Source organism: Homo sapiens, chromosome 1, assembly GCF_000001405.40.
Source record: "Homo sapiens chromosome 1, GRCh38.p14 Primary Assembly".
Classification (NCBI taxonomy): Eukaryota; Metazoa; Chordata; class Mammalia; order Primates; family Hominidae; genus Homo; species Homo sapiens.
In genome coordinates, this window is record NC_000001.11 from 121,234,141 (window position 1) to 121,252,437 (window position 18,297).

At 39.5% G+C, this 18,297-nt stretch overlaps 1 protein-coding gene across 2 annotated transcripts in view, besides 1 other annotated feature; it reads left to right on the top strand.

Moving 5' to 3' along the window:
• Window positions 1-18,297, top strand: part of SRGAP2C (SLIT-ROBO Rho GTPase activating protein 2C) — a 207,900-nt gene that overhangs the window by 49,166 nt on the left and 140,437 nt on the right. The gene's annotated exons all lie outside the window — the stretch shown is intronic.
• Window positions 740-1,514: an enhancer, noted in NCBI's record as "H3K27ac-H3K4me1 hESC enhancer chr1:120787669-120788442 (GRCh37/hg19 assembly coordinates)". NCBI's record gives its function as "activates a minimal SCP1, AML or CMV promoter by ChIP-STARR-seq in naive H9 embryonic stem cells {active_cell/tissue: H9 hESC(naive)}" and the evidence as "EXISTENCE:reporter gene assay evidence [ECO:0000049][PMID:30033119]".

Here is an 18,297-nt window from a genome sequence, read left to right on the forward strand (position 1 = left end):
CTTTGGGGAATACATATAGCCTGTAGACCCATTCCTCTTTGACCCTATAAAGATTCTTTAAAGAGTAATACCCTGAGTGGTTTTCTGGCCAGCTTGCCTGCTCATTTATCTTTGAGGAGATGGAAGGAGACAATATGCCTCGTGGAGATCCACAGGCCCTAGAGGTGTATGGATTGTGCATTTGGAAGTGCTGAAGCTGAGAGACTGGGTCTCTTGGTGGACCCCAAGGGATCTGCTTTTCCTCTACTCATTGTCCCTACACAACTTTTCCTGGCAGCCGGCATTGCTGTTTAGATGGGTTGTTCTTTGCTGTTTAAGTTGTTTGGCAGTGGTGTGTCAGGATGCGGGTTTTCTGAATACTTTCCCAGCTGGTTACTTGAGTGGTGGTTAGGGAGGGGCTGTTCTGGGGCTGCTCTGGAGCTGTTGAGGTCGGGTGTCTGTCTGGATACTCACAGCTGGTCTGTCGAGGAGAACGCTGTTCTCATTCTGCTGCCTTTGGTGGTGCTGTGTGTGGCTCTTTAGATGTGGGTGGAGATGAGTTGGGGGAGTTAATGAGATCTTTTTTTAGCTGCTTTTGATAAAGTAGTCTGTACTACAGGATTCATTGTGACTTTTTCCCTTAACCTGTGCATACTTCTTTGCTAGCCTTTGTGAAAGAGAGTTCAGCCCCTCTTGCCCTCTTGCTCTTTCGCTCTCTCTTGCCCTTCTGCCTTCTGCCATGGGATGATGCAGCAAGAAGACCCTCACCAGAGGCAGGTTCCTTGACCTTGGACTTCCTAGCCTCCAGAACTGTAAGAAATTCTTTTCTCTTTTCTTTTCTTCTTTTCTTTCCTCCCTCCCTCACTTCCTTCACTCTCTCTCTCTTTCTTTCTCTTTTCTTTCTTTCTTTTTTTTTTTTTGAGGCGGAGTCTCGCTCCGTCCCCCAGGCTGGAGTGCAGTGGCTAGATCTCGGCTCGCTGCAAGCTCCGCCTCCCGGGTTCACGCCATTCTCCATTCTCCAGCTTCAGCTCCCGAGTAGCTGGGACTACAGGCGCCCGCCACCAGGCCCGGCTAATTTTTTTTGTATTTTTAGCAGAGACGGGGTTTCACCGTGTTAACCAGGATGGTATCGATCCTTTTTTTTTTTTTGTTTTAAATTATGCAGTCTGTGGCATTCTGTTATAACAGCATGAAATAGACAAAGGCTCCATTTTCAAGAGCAAGCCCTTTTGTAGTTTCTGAGCTAATTATGACTGCAAAGGAAGTTCTATAGGTAGCCTCAGATCTACCACCTAGTAAATCTGCTACTAACCAGACCTAGAATCTAGGATTCTAGATCAAGTGCTGGGCAACATGATACCTCTGCAACTTGGCACCTCCCTATATCCCTCCAGTTGGTTTGGCCCATCAGGACTAATATTACCCCTCATATCCTAGTCTCTCTTGTAGGCAGAAGCCTTGCCTAAACCCTAAGCTGCTTAGCTCACATTCTGTCTTGCTTTTTCTGTTTTTTTTTTTTTTTAGGAGGGGGTTCAAATATAAAATATACGGGAAAGAAATATAATGAACCTCCATGTACCCAACACCCGGATTAAACAGTTATCTCAATTTTGCCAGACTTGTTTCATCTACTTCAATCTCCCTAAACATTTACATTTGTACAGGAAAAACTGGATAAATACCTAATTCTCCACCCTATCTCCCATTTTAAGTCATTTTTCAGAATAATGAGTTAGTGACTAGTAACCTCCACTGTAGTGACCAATAGTTTTTTTTCCTGAATATCGTAATGAGCTCATAGATTATTGTTTGCATTTGAGCCCATTGTAGTCACTATTAATTGTTTTAGATGCTCATATTGTCTCAGGTTAATAAGTATCTCTTCAAGTTGACTCCCATGGCCTTTTGACGTGATCCTGTTGGACTTGGATGGCTTCCTTGTTTTCTGGCAAAAAAAAAAAAAAGGTGTTCCAGGATCTATATCCTGCACCATACATGGAGTCAGCCATTTCTCTAGGGGGTCTTGATTCCTTTTAGTAGAGAACACAGTTTGGGCTCTAGGACTGAATTACTTTTGTGAACCTCCTTTCCTGCGATTACAGCCTGCACCCCTGCTTATAGCCAGTAGAAGCTCTTGTTGGGCATCAACAGATCGAAAACCACCATGTAGTTCTGCCTCACTCTTACAAAGATTCATCTCTTGAGAATTTTGTGCTCTACCCCCGTTGTAGTCTTTATGGTTTTGAAACTTTTGCTTCAGTCACCCTGAATTTTGCCAGCCATAGACATGCCATACCTTGGATTGCCAAACTGCCCTCACTGGAGCCAATTTCTCTGGTTAGAATAGTTGTCCCAACTCATGCTTAATACTCTAGTAAGCAAGGTTCCACCTGGGCTCAGGTTAACTTTTCTCCTTTGGGCCCTGTGTTCTACCAGCATTCCATTTAACTGAAACCCTCCCTCACCTCATCAAGATCTTATCTGGTCTTTAATGATTTACTCTGCTGCTTCCTGGGTTCTAAAGAATCCAGTTCAGGAGTTCCTCTTTCAGTTCGAGATCTTATTGGCCTGTCTCGTCAGGTTGGTGTCAGCCCAGCTAGGATTAAGCAGAATGGGGTTGGGGGTTGTAGTGCACTTTTGACACAGCGTGTACCTGGCTGACTACTTCTCTGTCTTTTTTTTCCTATTGCAATTCATGAGTCTCAGCATCTTCTGAATGGTGTTTAGTAGGTCATCATGTTGAGTTCCTGCTCTAGGGAGTAGCATACTCTGGCTCTGTATCATTGGCAAAGGGATTTAAGGTTAGATGATAGGCTGCAGTTTTGTTAAATGGAACAATATGAAGAGATGGCATTATAAAGAGGCTTGGCAGCAGGGCCCATTTGAATGGTTGGTTCTTGATTCCCATGTTGATATAGGCAGATCCTTGACAGGAATTTTGAATGGTCCCAAATGTGGTAAATCGCTGGTACATCAAGTCATCCTCAAAGTTGTCTGTGTAACTGTGTTGAATGCAGTTTTGTGAATCTCTGGTGATTGTCTGTATAGGGCTTCATCATTTAGTTATTTTAGTTGAGCCTGTTTAACTTCTTCAAGAAGATAAGATATGTGAAAGAGATGCAGACAGTAGGGAAAAAGCTAGGAGCTTTGCTCCCCCATCCTCTACTTGGGTTCTGGAACTGGACTCATAGGTGAGTAGTGAGGAGCTGGGCTCAAGCGAATTAATCCCGGATCTAGCTGTGCTATGTGTTCGCTCCAGTCTTTGTGTCAAAGTTCACTTTGAGCCACTCAGAGTAGCGTGTAGAGTGGTCATTCAGGACTGTGCTAACTTACACTTCATTGTATCAACTGGGAGATCCAGTAATTTATAGTCTATTATTTCTGGAGTCTGGAGATGACTCTGTATAAGCTTTGCTGAAGCAGATTTTATTACATTAGAAGAGAACCTACCTGGCTGCATCCAACACCAGAAGCTTTTAGATGCTAAGTAAGGAGGTCATAGTAAAGGTAACAGAATGACTCTGGAACCCATTACCCCTACCAAGAAGGGGAGTAATGAATTCCGGGTTGCCCTCTTTTCATTTCCCTTTGATTTTGAGTAATAAATTCCCTCCTTACTTCCCAGCTGAACAATTTGGGAGTCTGTATTCCCTAGAAAGACTGTTCACATACCCGTCAGACTAAATTAGGTGAAATCTCTTTGGCCTTAATGAATGTTGAAGGATTTTAAAGGGCTAATGGAAATTCTTCTAGAAGTAACAATTCCCATTCTATTGGTGAGGCAGTTCTAAAGAAAGTCCCTGAACCTCTTAGGTTATTTTGTACAGCAAAAGAACCAGCATTGGGTTTTCTTTGCTAATAGATGACAGGGAGAATGTAGACACTTGGAATACATGGAGAATCCCTAAGTTGCATTTTAGCCTTCATGTTATGTCTCCTTTCCTAACCTTTTTACCAGAGCTGATCACAGGAAACAGCATGATAGATTTGCATGACCTAGCTCCCTGCCTTCTCCTGCCATTCTTTTAGAAAGTGGTGAGTGGCTGCCTGCCAGGTAAAATCTGGGTGACAAAATCCAAAGTTAGATTCAGAGTTATAAGCATAGCCCCCACCCAAGTTGCTTCCAAAGAAAAGAAAGGAAGAGTGTTGTGTAAAATCTTGCTTCCTTGCCTTTAAATTGGGTACTTATTGAGTTACCACATTAGAATCGTGCATTGTGCTAGTTGTTGTACTCCTGTTGATTGATTAATTTCATTCTACATTCATGGAACACCAACAATGTGCCTGGTACTATGCTGAGTACCTGAGATAAAAAGATAAACAGGAGTTGGTCCTTACCACTTAGAGCTCACAGTCTACTACTGCGAGAGTGTGGGAAGGTATGATAAGAGCTATAGTGGTCTTGCCACATAATTTGCATTTGTATCTTAAAGCCAGTGGGGAACCATGGAAATATTTTAAGCAGGGGAGTGACATGATTCATTTGCATTTTACTTTTTTTTTTTCTTTTATGAGACAGAGTCTTGCTCTGTCACCCAGGCTTGAGTGCAGTAGTGTGATCATAGCTCACTGTAACCTCAGACTCCTGGGCTGAAGTGATCCTCTTGCCTCAGCCTGTTAAGTAGCAGGGACTACAATTGTGCACCACTACACACTGCTATTTTTTTTTTTTTTTTTTTGAGATGGGGTCTCACTCTTGTTTCCCAGGATGGAGTGCAGTAGCGTGATCATGGCTTGCTGCAGCCTCACCTACCTGGGTTCAAGCGATCCTTGTGCCTCAGCCTCCCAAGGTGCTGCGATTACAGGTGTGAGCCACTATATTTGGTCTCATTTGTATTTTTGAAAGATCACTGGTGGCAGTGAAGATACCAGTGGGTTGGAGGGAGGGAGACTAGAGGCAATAACAGTTTAGATAATAGATATTTACTGAGCCCCTGCTAAGTGCCAGGCACTGATCCAGGTGCTGGGAACCTAGGGGGTGAGTGAATAAGACAGTCTCTGCCCTCATGGAGCTTACATTCTAATAGTGGTAGAGTAGTGTGGTGGTAGGAAAGCAGACTATATATATATATATATATATATATATATATATATATATATATATATATACTATATATATATATATACTATATATATATATATATATACTATATATATATATACTATATATATATATATATACATGCAACAAATGATATTTTTTCAGATGGTGATAAGTAATTTGAAAAAATAAATAAATAGAGCTATGGGAGTTAGAGTGTTTGGGCATTGGGATGGGTACTAATGGGAATGGGCAGTGAAGGCCTCTCTGAGGAGGTGATATTTGAGCTGAGGCAGCTATGAGAAGACCTAGGCAAGAGTGGTCCTGATGGGTAGAACGGCAAGTGCAGGGACCTAAGATGTGAACAGGCTTGGCACGGTGCGTAAGCACCGTAAAGATGGTCAGAGTAGCTGGAGCATGGTGGAGCCCAGAGGAGCAAGTAATAGTCAGTTGAGGGTGGAGCACATTCTAAGCCATGGGAAGGAATCTGGATTAATTCCAGTGGAGTAAGAAGCACTGTGATTAATTAAATCAGGGGTCAGCAAACTACAGCCCATGGGTCAAATCTGTCCTGCTGCCTATTTTTATGAATAAGCCATATTGGAACAGTCATACAAGAGCAGAGTTGAGTAGTTTCAACAGAGAACATATGGCCCAGAAGCCTAAAATATTTACTATCTGGCCTTTATAGAAAGAGTTTACTATCCCTGAATTAAATGATCTAATTTAAGTTTTGAGGAGACACTCTGGCTACTGTTGAGATAATTAATGGTAGGAGACAAGAGTATATCTGAATAGTTCAGATAAGAAATAACTAGATGTTGAGCCACCAGAAAGCAAAGATCACACCGTTTTTGTTCTGTTTAAAAACACCTAGGTATGCTTTATACTCATTAAATATTGTTGAATGAATGATGAGATGCTGAATAAGGGAGTGCCAGTGAATATGAAGGGGAAGTGAGGTTTTGAGAAATATTTAGGAGGTAAAAAATCAGTGCAGCTTATTGTTGACAAGGTGAATAGAAATAGGAGTAGGACAGAAGGAGGACTGTAGATGCCCTTCAGGCTTCTGGTTCAGGGATCTTGGTGCATGGTTGGTGTTCCATGAACCTAGAATGAAATTGATCAATCAACAGGCTATTAACTGAGACAGGAGAAGTGGAGATACAAAGAGCATACACTGCCAGGAAGAAGGAATTAATCTTTGGACATGAGACTCCCGGGACATCCAGGTAGAGATGTCTAAAAGGTAGTTGGAAAGACAGAGCTCGGTGGCATGATGCCTAGACTTATGGTAACCAGAATTCTGGAGTCGTTAGCTAGTGTGGGCTCTCCTAAGAAGGGTGTGTGATGAGAAGGTCAGGGTTGGATTTCATAAGGCATTCATTTCCATTACATTTTGGATCCAGAGAGGAGGCAAAGGTAAACTAGCTGTGTGGACAGTTTGCATCAGTCAGTCAGTCAGATCATCCCATGACCATGGCATATTTTTTCTGCAGAAGCTGATAGGCTCAGATGAAGCCTTGCCTTATCTGTTCCTCTGGCTGCCAACCTCTTTCTCTTAGTTGGGTTGACTGGGGCAGTGGTGGAGGTTTCTTCCCAGACTCTCTGCTAAGGTTGGAACATTTGTGGCCTTTTAATTCTGTAGGTGATTCATATTTGCATTTATCTTTTTTTTTTTTAAAAGAGACAGGGTCTCATCCTGTCACCCAGGCTGGAGTGTGATGGCATGATCATAGCTCACTGCAGCCTCGACCTTCTGGGCTCGAGTGATCCTCCCACCTCAGCCTCCCAAGTAACTGGGACCACAGGTGCGTGCCACCAAGCCCAGCTAATTTTTTATTTTTTGTAGAGACAGGGTCTCCCTATGTTCCCCAGGCTGATCTCAAACTCCTGGGCTCAAGTGTTCCTCTCACTTTGGCTTTCCAAAGTACTGGGATTACAGGAGTGAGCCAACATGTTTGCATTTATCTAGTTGAGGCTATGGGTAGGTAGAAGTGTCTAGTTGTTCTTGGTGTTTTGTTAGAGCAAGAACTCTCTGACCCAAGGGTTAGGTAAGTGGCTAAGTTTTATTAAACATTGTTAAATATTAATAAATTTATTAAATATTATTAAATTTATTAAATATTGTGGGTTCTTTTAACCCACAAAGCTAGATAAACCCATTAGAAGTCCTGAACAATAGCTTCCCCTTTCCTTTTTGTCTGGGGAAGGGGAACCACAGAAATACTTAATAAAAAAGCACTTGTGCTGAAAATGGTCTTAAAACTGGATGCAAATCTCCCCTTTACAGAAGTTCATTATGAAAACCCAAGGATGAAATCAACATTGTAAAGGGAGTAGGGAAGGAGGACCACTCTCTATCCCGCTCTTCCACCCCCCTCATATTTTTTTCAGCATACTGTCACACCTCTGTTGTTTGTACATTTTTAGAAGACACTTTTTGAACACATTTTAACCCCGTCTTACATATAATATTCAAATTTTAGGGTCCCATGTTTTATGAGTTTCTCCTTTTCTAAAGAAACAGTTGAGTAATAGTTTTGCTACTCCTCTAACCTAAATTATTCCTGTCATGAGGTTAGTGACTTCTGACAGGCAGAGGTAAGTAGTTTAAAGCCTGATTACCTAGTCCCAAAGTGGACGAAATGGAGCCTTGAACCAAATAAATAGGTAGTAAAGGTAAATTTAAAATATGAAAAAAAATTTTTTTGAAAGGCATATGTTGACGAGTATTATTTCCACTCCTGTCTGGTCCACCCTGTAGAACCCCTGCTCCTTATTGTGGGTGTCACTCTTAATAGTTCCTTATATATCTGTGCAGTGTTTCTTTATGTAAATAAAAGGAGATATGAACATATGTTCTTACCCCTCCACGTTCTTTTACATGAAAGGTAAATCATTATCTAACCTGTTGTGTACTATTTTGTCCTTAACAGTATGTCTTGGGGATCTTTCCTTGTTGGTACAGAGAAAGCTTTCTCATTCGTATATCAGAGCTGCATAGTATTCCATTGTGTGGATGGCTGCCTCCTACTTTATTGAATCAGTTCCTTACAAATGTGCACTTGAGTTGTTTCCGGTATTTGCTATTACAAGCAATACTTCAGTGAACAAAGGCAGCTTTTTAAAGGGTCGCACAGCACTGCATATGCTACTTAAAATGAGATTATTATTCTTCATTCTTAGAATGCCAGTTGGTTTTGTTGGTTGATAAATTCCCAATTACTCGTATTCATGAGTGCAACATTGATGATGAATGTGACATCCCTTCATAACTTAAGAATCATTAGTATGACTGCCCCATGGAGGCATACTGTTCTATCTCAGGTTTATTTCAATAATAAAACCTTTGGAAATTTTAATAATGAAACCTACTTAAGACCCTTTGCTTAAGAAGTCTGAATCACTGATCACTGCAATTACTGCCATGGCAGCTGTAGAGCAATTTAACAGGATAATAGTGAATAAGATAAATTACACTTCAGATTCTTAATGGATTGATGTGCAGAAGTATGCAAGGGAAGATGGGGGTGGGAGAGGAGCGCCTTTAAAATTTCAGCACACAGTAATAAAATAGGGAACTGGGCCATTGTAGCCGTTACTACTAGGAGTTAGTAATCTCGTACAAACCTCTGGGGCTCTGTGGTGGGTAGAATGTCCTGTTTATTATAGACAACAAATTGGGTTAATTCTCTTGTTTGTGTGCCTCTGTGGAGTGGGTGGAAATTCTAGGTGACTTGCTAATTGTCTTATTTGGAATACTCCCGTTTCTACTAAAGAATTAGTATCTTTGGTATAAAAATAAGGAGGCAGACCAGTTTTACAAATAGCTGCTGGCCAGGAGAATAACAGTTTCTGCCAGGTGAGCAGTTAAAAAAAAGGCAGACTGGAAAAATAACTGTGGAATGGTGTTTCTTATTTACAAGGCTAACATAAAGTCTCCCTGTGTGTTGGGGATGGGGGAGGGGACGGATTGGCTAAGAAGTAAGTACGGTGCTTGCTTTGTATGTCCCTCGATTTGTGTTTAGGGGAGAATAGTGAGGATGTGGTCATACGGGTAGGCGTGGGGCCCGAGGAAGGGGTCCAAGGAAGCAAATCCAGGAGACTTGGCTGCAGTTCTACCCTTATGGACATTCCTTGGCACTTGGTCACATTGTGGACACCTCAATATCTGCTGGGTATTGATCTTGTATACCTTCATTCTCAGTACAAAACCCTTAGCACCCATTATCTCATTCTTCCCCACCAAAGCCCTTGGAGATGAAGAGCAGGAGAATGAAGTCTTTTCTCTCTTAATGTTTAATCAGCATTAACACACCTTTAAGTGCCATTGGATTTAGAGCAGTGTTGTTATTAAAGCAAACTAAATTGTCTTGAAGTGTAGAAAGCACTTTTAGAAAAAGAAGCAAGGTTAGGCTGAGAGAACAAGACAGATGAAGTTACTCCTCTGAGCTGGAAAAGATCTTGTGTCAAAGGAGGAAGCCTCAGAGATAATCTGGGCCAGAAGATTCTGTGTTCAAATCCTGGTTCTGCCTCTTGGTCAAGTTATATAACCTCCGATTTATAATTATTTAAATCTGTAAAGTAAAGAGAGTGATATTTACCATGCAGTGTTTTTGTTTTTTTTTTTTTTTGAAATGATTAAATGAGATAATAGAAATAAAGTTGGCCCTCAATAGGTGGTAGCTGATACTATTAATATTATTAACAGAGGGTCTTCTAAAGAATCTCATGATAGTTTTGGAGCAAAGGAAGGCACTCTCTTTTACATGAGGAGATTGGTACTTCTGGCAGTAAATCAAGAGGGCTGCCTTTAGGGTTGGGAAGCATATTGACAGTATTGGAGGAAGGTGTTAGTTGCCATGGCAACTTGGGAATTCATTTGGAGAGAGAGTTGTGACTGGAGGTTATCTCACTGTAAGAGACTGACTGGTGGAGATTAAAAAAAAAAAAAGCTTGTCTGGCAGGAATGAAATCTTGCTTGCTGTATATCTGCAGGAAATACCAAGAGATGTGCTCTAGAGAAAGTTCCAAACATGAGTCAGAATGATGTGCAGGCCTTCTTTGGTAATGGGTGGTTGTGTCTTAGTGGGCCTAAATGCTGCCACCAGTTGATTGCTTTTGTTCGCATGTATTACTTTGGTAAAAAAATAAATGTATGAATGGGATTTCAGTGAACAGGGTTTTATCGTGGGTTTTTTTTTTTTTTTTGTCTTCTGAAAACATGACGTCAAATTGTTGGATATTTTCCTACAGTTGGTTTAGTCCCCAAGAAGGTTTTAGTAAAAGAGCATGAATACAGAGCGTACCTGAATCATTTACCTTGTTCCTAAGGTAAATGACATAAGGAATACAAGTATTTCCTTTTGATTGGGCAATTAAGACTTTTTTTTTTTCCTATAAAGGTTCTCCTGATAGTGCCACTTGATTACTGATTTTGAAAAGCCTCTTGGTATGATGTACTTAATGTCCATTGTTAGTTTGTCTGCTTGTTTAGTACATCTGCTGTTATCTGTTACCTTCTGATTGCAGCCTTGCCTGGAAACAGGGCTGGACCAAATGAACCCCTTAAAACAGCAAGATTCTGGAGTCGCTGTTTAATTTTTTACAGGCTTCCAGTGCTTACTCACATCTATTTCCTTCCTTCCCTTTCAAGTTAGGGGTACCATTTGACTTGCATTGGCCAGCAAAATGTGGCCATACATGGCAATTCTGGGCAGAAGCAGTTGCCAGTATGGGACAGTTCAGTGCTCTCTTTTCTTGCCTTGGTGATGGTGAAAGTTTGTGAGCAGGTGGAACCTCTGTCAATCTGAGCTCTTGAACTACAATGATGGAAAGATTGCCCCTCCCTGACCCTTGTTGGACACACAGCATAAAAAATAAATGAGCTTTTGTGAGGTTAAGCCACTGAAATTTTGGGGGTTAGTTGTTCATGCAGCAGAACCCAGCCCATTCTTACTGCCTTAATAGTCATTTAATACATATGTATTGAGTATTTAACTTTGTGCTGGGCACTGTTAGGTTGGGGATATAACAGTGAACAACACAGAAGTCTCTTCTCTAATGGAGATTACATCTATGAGGGAGACATAATAAATAAACTAAGATAATTAAATATTGAGATAAGTGCTATAAAAGAAAATAAACAAGATCATGTGATAGAAAAATCTCCAAAGAACAAAGAGGCTATGAGAAGGAAATGGGAATCCCCCAGGACTCATATTAATGACTTTTAATATTTCCCTATATGTCTTAAGACTCTGGATACTTCTAGAGTAGTTTCTTATGCCTTGGAAAGGGGATAACACTGAAGGCAAGAAAGCAATGTGTTGTATTACTTGGTAGCATGTGACAAAATTAAATAACTAGTGTACTCCAAAATAAATGACAACCGAGAATGATATTAGTTTGCTCTGCATCTTTAGAAACTCATTAGTGTCCTGCTGGGTTTAGTGGAAGATGAAATCTGAGCTTTGTTTATGTGCTGTGTTAAGCCCCTCCCCGAGGGCATCCATCTTCAGCATTCAGACTTTCCAGAGATCTAGTTGCTTAGTAGGTACTGATCCAGTTTAATTGTATTAACCAGACTCTCACACTGGGGAGAAGTGGAATGCAAATTGATGCATAATGTTTATATCTTGCATAATATAATTTTGGAAGGAAATAGAATGATGACATATTTCCTTAAATCTTAAATGCTCTCCAGTGAAAACTTTGAGAATGGTTATAACTTTTCTGGAAGAAACATAGGGATAGAGCTCAGGTCTGATCATTGAGGAACATTAGGTTCAGTGCCAGTTGGCAATGATGATTTACTTTGTGTGACCGTAAGAAATCTCTTGGTACGAGGGTGGGCAGCACCTATTCTGCCTTGATGGGAAGAAATGAGAAAAGTGTTACTTGGGAGTTGTAATGGGGAAAGGAGAGCTTTATCTGCTTTTCTTTTCTTCCTTTTCTTTGGGGCAAACCAAAGCAATGAGAATAGGAGAAGGTCAGGAGAGGAGGCATGTCTAAATGACAGTTATAAGGAAGAATCAATTCATTCAAAAACTTTGGGCACTGGAAGAGTATGGGCTGTTTAATTCTATGTCCAAACTGGGAAACATGCTTTTGCTACTGCAATGAAGGGAATTCAGAGTGATGTGCATGGTGACATTTGCCCCTCATCCATCAAGCCAGTCTTATGATCATCCCTGGAGGAAGATTGAGAATCTCTAAACTGGGGCTCAGATTTTTCTTTCTGTCTCGAATATTTTAGTCATCTCATGTTGGCACATACTCTAAAAATCTGATCTGGGTGAAACTCCAGGGAAGTAGGAAAAATTGATCAAAGTAAGAACAGCATTGAAGACACACACATCCTTGCAAATATATGGGTTTATTGATACAGTGTAAATTTCCATGCCAGGACACATGCCAACAGTTTAATGATGTGTATATAGCAAAGTCCCTTGTTAACCCCATTCAGAAACTCTAAAATGAGTTGCAAGGCTGAAAGTATTGAAGCCAAAGGCCAAAAACAATGATCATGTTACCTAGGATCTCATGAATAATTCAGCTGAGTTTAATGCTTTTTCCATGGTGAAACTAAAAAGCTGAAATATTTGGCATAATGTAGACAAATTGTACCCCGCTTCCTTTTGGGAGGATGGTTGGTCATGAGGAATGTAAGGAAGGGTGGAGAAAAATAAGGAATCTTTTCATATTTGTTTTAACCAAATATATGGAATGTCTCAACATTCCACCTCTAAAGAAGTAAAAATATAAAAATTCAAGTTGGGGATTTAAAGATGTTCTCTTTGAATGTTCATTAATAGCTGAAGATTTGGGCTTGAGAGGCACTTAGAAAATTGCTCCTAAAGTCCTAGAAAGACGGTCACAGAAATACCAAGAGAGAAGGAATGCTTGATATTCTTGGTGTTAGGAATCACCAAGAATAGTGTATTGGTCTGTTTCAGAAAAATAATAGTAATTAGAGATGAACAAAAGAGCATGTGGATATTTTTGAAAGTTGTGTGCAAATTGAATTACTGTAAATCTAATCATAATTTCAAGGCATTAGAAAAGCATTATAACAAAACCTGCCAGAAGATTAGAATTATTTTTCATAAAGTGAACGTGTTTTTTTCTCTCCAGCTTAATTTTTAAACCTAGGTTTTGGTATATTGATTTAACTTAAATTGAGACCTCTGCCATTCAGGGGATAAAGCTCTGGACATTCTACATCCTTAGACTTCAGTTCTTGCCTCTTAAATAGGTAAACTCTCCTATTTCTTTCTACTTTTCTCCTAAAAATAATGAGAAGATAAGCAAGTTAATAGAATCTAAGAATGTTTGAGCTGGAAGGTGCTTAGAGATCATCTAGTGCAGGTCACTCATTTGACTGAAACTAAGACCTAAAGAGGTTATGTGACTCTTCAGAGTCTCCAGTTATAAAAGAGAAGGCAAATTATTATGAATAGGGCAAACATAACTCAAAGAAGGCATTCTTTTTATTAAAAAATATGGGAAAGGAAACAGACCTGGCTGGCATGGCCCATTGTTTTCATTCTCTATGTTTCTTTTTTTTTTTCTTTGAGATGGAGTCTTGCTCTTGTTGCCCAGGCTGGAGTGCAATGGTGCGATCTCGGCTCACTGCACCCTCCGCCTCCTGGTTTCAAGCGATTCTCTTGCCTCAGCCTCTCGAGTAGCTAGGATTACAGGCATGTGCCACCACGCCCGGCTAATGTTGTATTTTTAGTAGAGATGGAGTTTCTCCATGTTGGTCAGGCTGGTCTTGGACTCCTGACCTCAGGTGATCCTCCCGCCTCTGCCTCCCAAACTGCTGGGATTACAGGCATGAGCCACCACGCCCGACCTTCTGTATTTTTTATTGCTTAAAATATGATGAGATGCCTGGACATTCAGCTGCCATCTTGTGATGTGAAGTGCTGTGTTAACTCACTGAAGAAAAATAGATGGAGCCCTGCATCCTTAATGACAATCATCAAGCTGCCTTACCAGCTATGCTTGTCCCTCCTCCAGGTTTCTTCATTGGAGGTCTTCTTCTGGATATCATGGACAATATAATTCCATAGGGAATAATCCAAAATTGGGACAAAATTTTGGTAATCTGTTTGAAGTCAGTGGAGAGCTAACAAAGCAGTAGGATATTATGGAGCCAAGATCTTGGAGAACAAGGAAATTCGAGAGTGACATTGGGACAAACTTTCCCCTAGAGGCATATCTTCTGATTCTTAAAGAGGCAGCTGAGAGGCTAGAAATCTTTCCAGCAAAACTTACTTTTTTTTTTTTTTTTTTTGAGACGGAGTCTTGCTCTGTCGCCCAGGCTGGAGTGCAGTGGCGCAATCTTGGCTCACTGCAAGCTCCGCCTCCCGGGTTCACGCCATTCTCCTGCCTCAGCCTCCCAAGTAGCTGGGACTACAGGCGCCCACCACCACGCCGGGCTAATTTTTTGTATTTTTAGTAGAGACGGGGTTTCACCGTGTTAGCCAGGATGGTCTCGATCTCCTGACCTCGTGATCCGCCTGCCTCTGCCTCCCAAAGTGCTGGGATTACAGGCGTGAGCCACCGAGCCCGGCCACTTTCAAACATTCATGGTGCTAGAGGCTCAAAATTTAGGACCTGCCAAGGAGAGTGGGCCGTGGCAAATATCTTTGGCTTTGGGTTGCTATTCTGAGGTGCTGAACTTTAGGATCGAGTATGAACGGAAAATTGACTAGCCCTCATAGAGACTGAGGCCCAGCTTCATACCCTCTCATTCCCTGACTGGGTTAAGGATCTTGATTGGATGGCCAGTTTTCTTAGCTCCATCTCAGAAGCAAAGGACGATCCTCTTGGAGAAGTCTTAAATTATTTCTCTAATTTCTATATTTTTTCATATAAAATGTCCAGTATGCAGTTAAAAACAGCCAGGCATATGAGGTAACATAACAAAATAATTTGAAACTAAGAGACGTAATAAATAATAGAAACAGATCCACAGAGTATCCAGATAATGGAGTCATCAGGTATGGATTTAAAAATAACTTTTCAAAATATGTTTAAGGGTAAGATAAAAACAAGATATATTATTTTGGCAGAGAACTGGAAATTCAAAACTGGATAAAGTGACAAATATAAAACTAAAAATATAATAAATGAAAGTAAGAATTTAGTGGATGGGTTTTATGCAGAGTGAATAGAAAAGAGTGATGGATGAATTCTCAATAGAAAAAAAGGAATCCAGAAAAAAATGGATTTATATCTTCAAAATAAGGAAAATAACATACAAATAAAATTCTCTACAGTGTGAAAATATCCTTTAAAATGAAGGTGACAAGTTCTTCCATGCAAATATGATTTGGGAAAATTTTAACAAAAGGGCTTATGATGAACATGGACTATATATATATATATATATATATATATATATATATTTTTTTTTTTTTTTTTTAAATTATACTTTAAGTTCTAGAGTACATATGCACAATGTGCAGGTTTGTTACATATGTATACATGTGCCATGTTGGTGTGCTGCACCCATTAACTCTTCATTTACAATAAGTATATCTCCTAATACTATCCCTCCCACCTCCCCCCACCCCATGACAGGCCCCTGTGTGTGATGTTCCCCATCCTGTGTCCAAGTGTTCTCATTGTTCAGTTCCCACCTATGAATGAGAACATGCCGTGTTTGGTTTTTTTTTTCCTTGCGATAGTTTGCTCAGAATGATGGTTTCATCCATGTCCCTACAAAGGACATGAACTCATCCTTTTTTATGGCTGTATAGTATTCAAACATGGAATATATTTTAAGATAGATATAAGACTAAAGCAAAGGTAAGGAAAGGGTGGAAGAATAATGTGTGTAAATGATATATGTTCTGAAAAATAGAAATAAAGCCAATAAAAATGGGAGCAGAATGGAGGAAGGCAGATAAAAAGGGGAGAATAGAATCAGACTGTCACAAAGTTAATAAATAATTGGGAGTCAAAGAATTCATTATTGAAAGCTGACAAACCAGATAGTAGGAGAGTAAGAACAAAAGGGGGCTAAGGACATTATAAAAAGTATTAGTATAAAGATAACCACTAGAACAAAAATGCGGACTCCCCTAAATAGAAAAACGGGCAAAGAAAACAAACCACAGAGTGAATTTAACATAATAGAAACAGTAAAAATAATATAAAATAATATGACAGGCTTAAGACTAAATATATCAGTAATATAAATATATAAATGAGCTGAAAATCACCTAATAAAAGGAAAATATTTTCAGATTGACTTTCAAGCAAAACCAATTCATTGCTCTGTAGAAGAGACATACCTAAAACAAAAGGATTCAGAAAGGATAAAACTAGTAGGATGACTTAAAGGCATACAGAGATGCTCTTAGCAGTGTTAATTATAAGACCCAAATAACTACCAAAATGCTCTTCAGAAGTAGAATGAATAAACAAAGTGTGGTGTATTCATACAGTGGAATACTACATATATAATGAGAGTATGAATATGAATTTTACAAAACAACATGGATGAATCTCATAGTAAGGAGTGAAAGAGGCATGAAACAAGAGTGCATCCTATATGATTCCATTTATATGAAATTTTAAAAGAGGCAGGACCAATCTATGGTGATAGTAATCCATATCATGGTCACCCTTATGGAAGGGTAATGACTGGAAGGGAAGCCAAAGGGGCTTTCAGAGCACTAGCGATGCTCTATTTTTTATCTGGGTGCTGGTTGCATGATTTTGTTAACTTTGTGAAAATTCTTTAAGCTGGATACTTAAGAGTTGTGTTCCTTTCTGTATCTATGTTACATTTTAATAAAAGGTTTACATTTAAAAATATAAACTATTTACAAGCAGAAGATGAGGCTTGGGGTAAAGTCCCATGGAATAGCTGGACTTAGAGTCATCAGAGAGAATGATTTTTAATTCCAATTTCTATGAACACTGCCTCTAGGCTCTAAAGGCCATTTTCTTTTCTTTATGACACTTCAAGGTTGCTCCCTAGATTTGTTTTTGCCATCTCCAAATTAAAAATAGAGTCTAGAAAAACAGGGTAGAGAATGCAGAAGTACAGCCGAATACACAAAGGCATTTGGCATAGAGTAAACCATGGTATTTCAAATTGGTGGGATGGGAGAGAGGAATGGATTTTTCAATAACTGGTTTTGAGACAACTGGGTAGCCATTTGGGAAAAAATTAAATTGGATCCCTGTCTTCCTCCTTATATGGAAGTAAATTTTATATTGATTAAAATATACATGTACAAAATGAAACCATAAAAATATTAAAAGAAAATATAGAGGTATATATTTTTAAACCATGGAATATAATGTAAGCCTGACTGAAAATTCAGGAGCTATGTAAGAAAAGATTGACAAATTTTAAAAGTTCTACATGGTTAAAAATAATATCATAAAACCAAAAGATGGACTGGGAAAAATATTTGCAACACATGAGAAGGGGCTAATTTCCTTTATAAAGTGTTCACACAGTCAACAAAAAGTCAAAAAAGATCAGTAATCCAAAGAAAAAATGAGTAAAGAACATGAACTGTTGTTTCAAACAGACTAACTAAATAACTTACTAACACCCGCAAAGACTTATTGCAACATGGAAACCTATGAACATAGGAAATGAATGATGCCAGGTCTTATTCATAATAGAGGAATACAAATTAAATTGCAAGTACAGTATGTAGTCATTTTTCACATATTAGATAAAAAACATTTGCTCATACATTGCATTCTGAGTACAGAGTAGCAAGAAGTCTCCTATATTGTTGAATGGGCAGTATTAGAAATAATTTAAAATGTATATACCCTTTGACTTACTGGTTTCCTTCTACCACTTTATTCTGTAGATACACCCACATCTACATTCATTACAGCATTGTTTATGGCAGCAAAAAATTGGAAACAATGGCAGGTACCACCAAAAAAAGAGACTGGTTGAATAAACAAAAGCATAGCTATGCAGTGGAATGCTATGCAGCTGGTAGAAAGAAGGGGCAGATTGATATGTACTAATATGAAAAATCTCCAAGACACACTGTTAAATGAAAAAAATGTGGCACACGTGCCACGTTTTAAAAAGGGAAGGGGCATATACACAGATGCTTGTTTACACAGTTAGTATTTCTTGAAGGATATATAAGAAAATGGTTTCCTCAGAGGTATAGACCTTTGGGGAAGGGTAGGGATGAGAGGGAAACTTACTTGTCATTGTTTACTGTTTTGTATTGAGAATGTTTCCCCCAGGTGAATGACTGTTATACCTA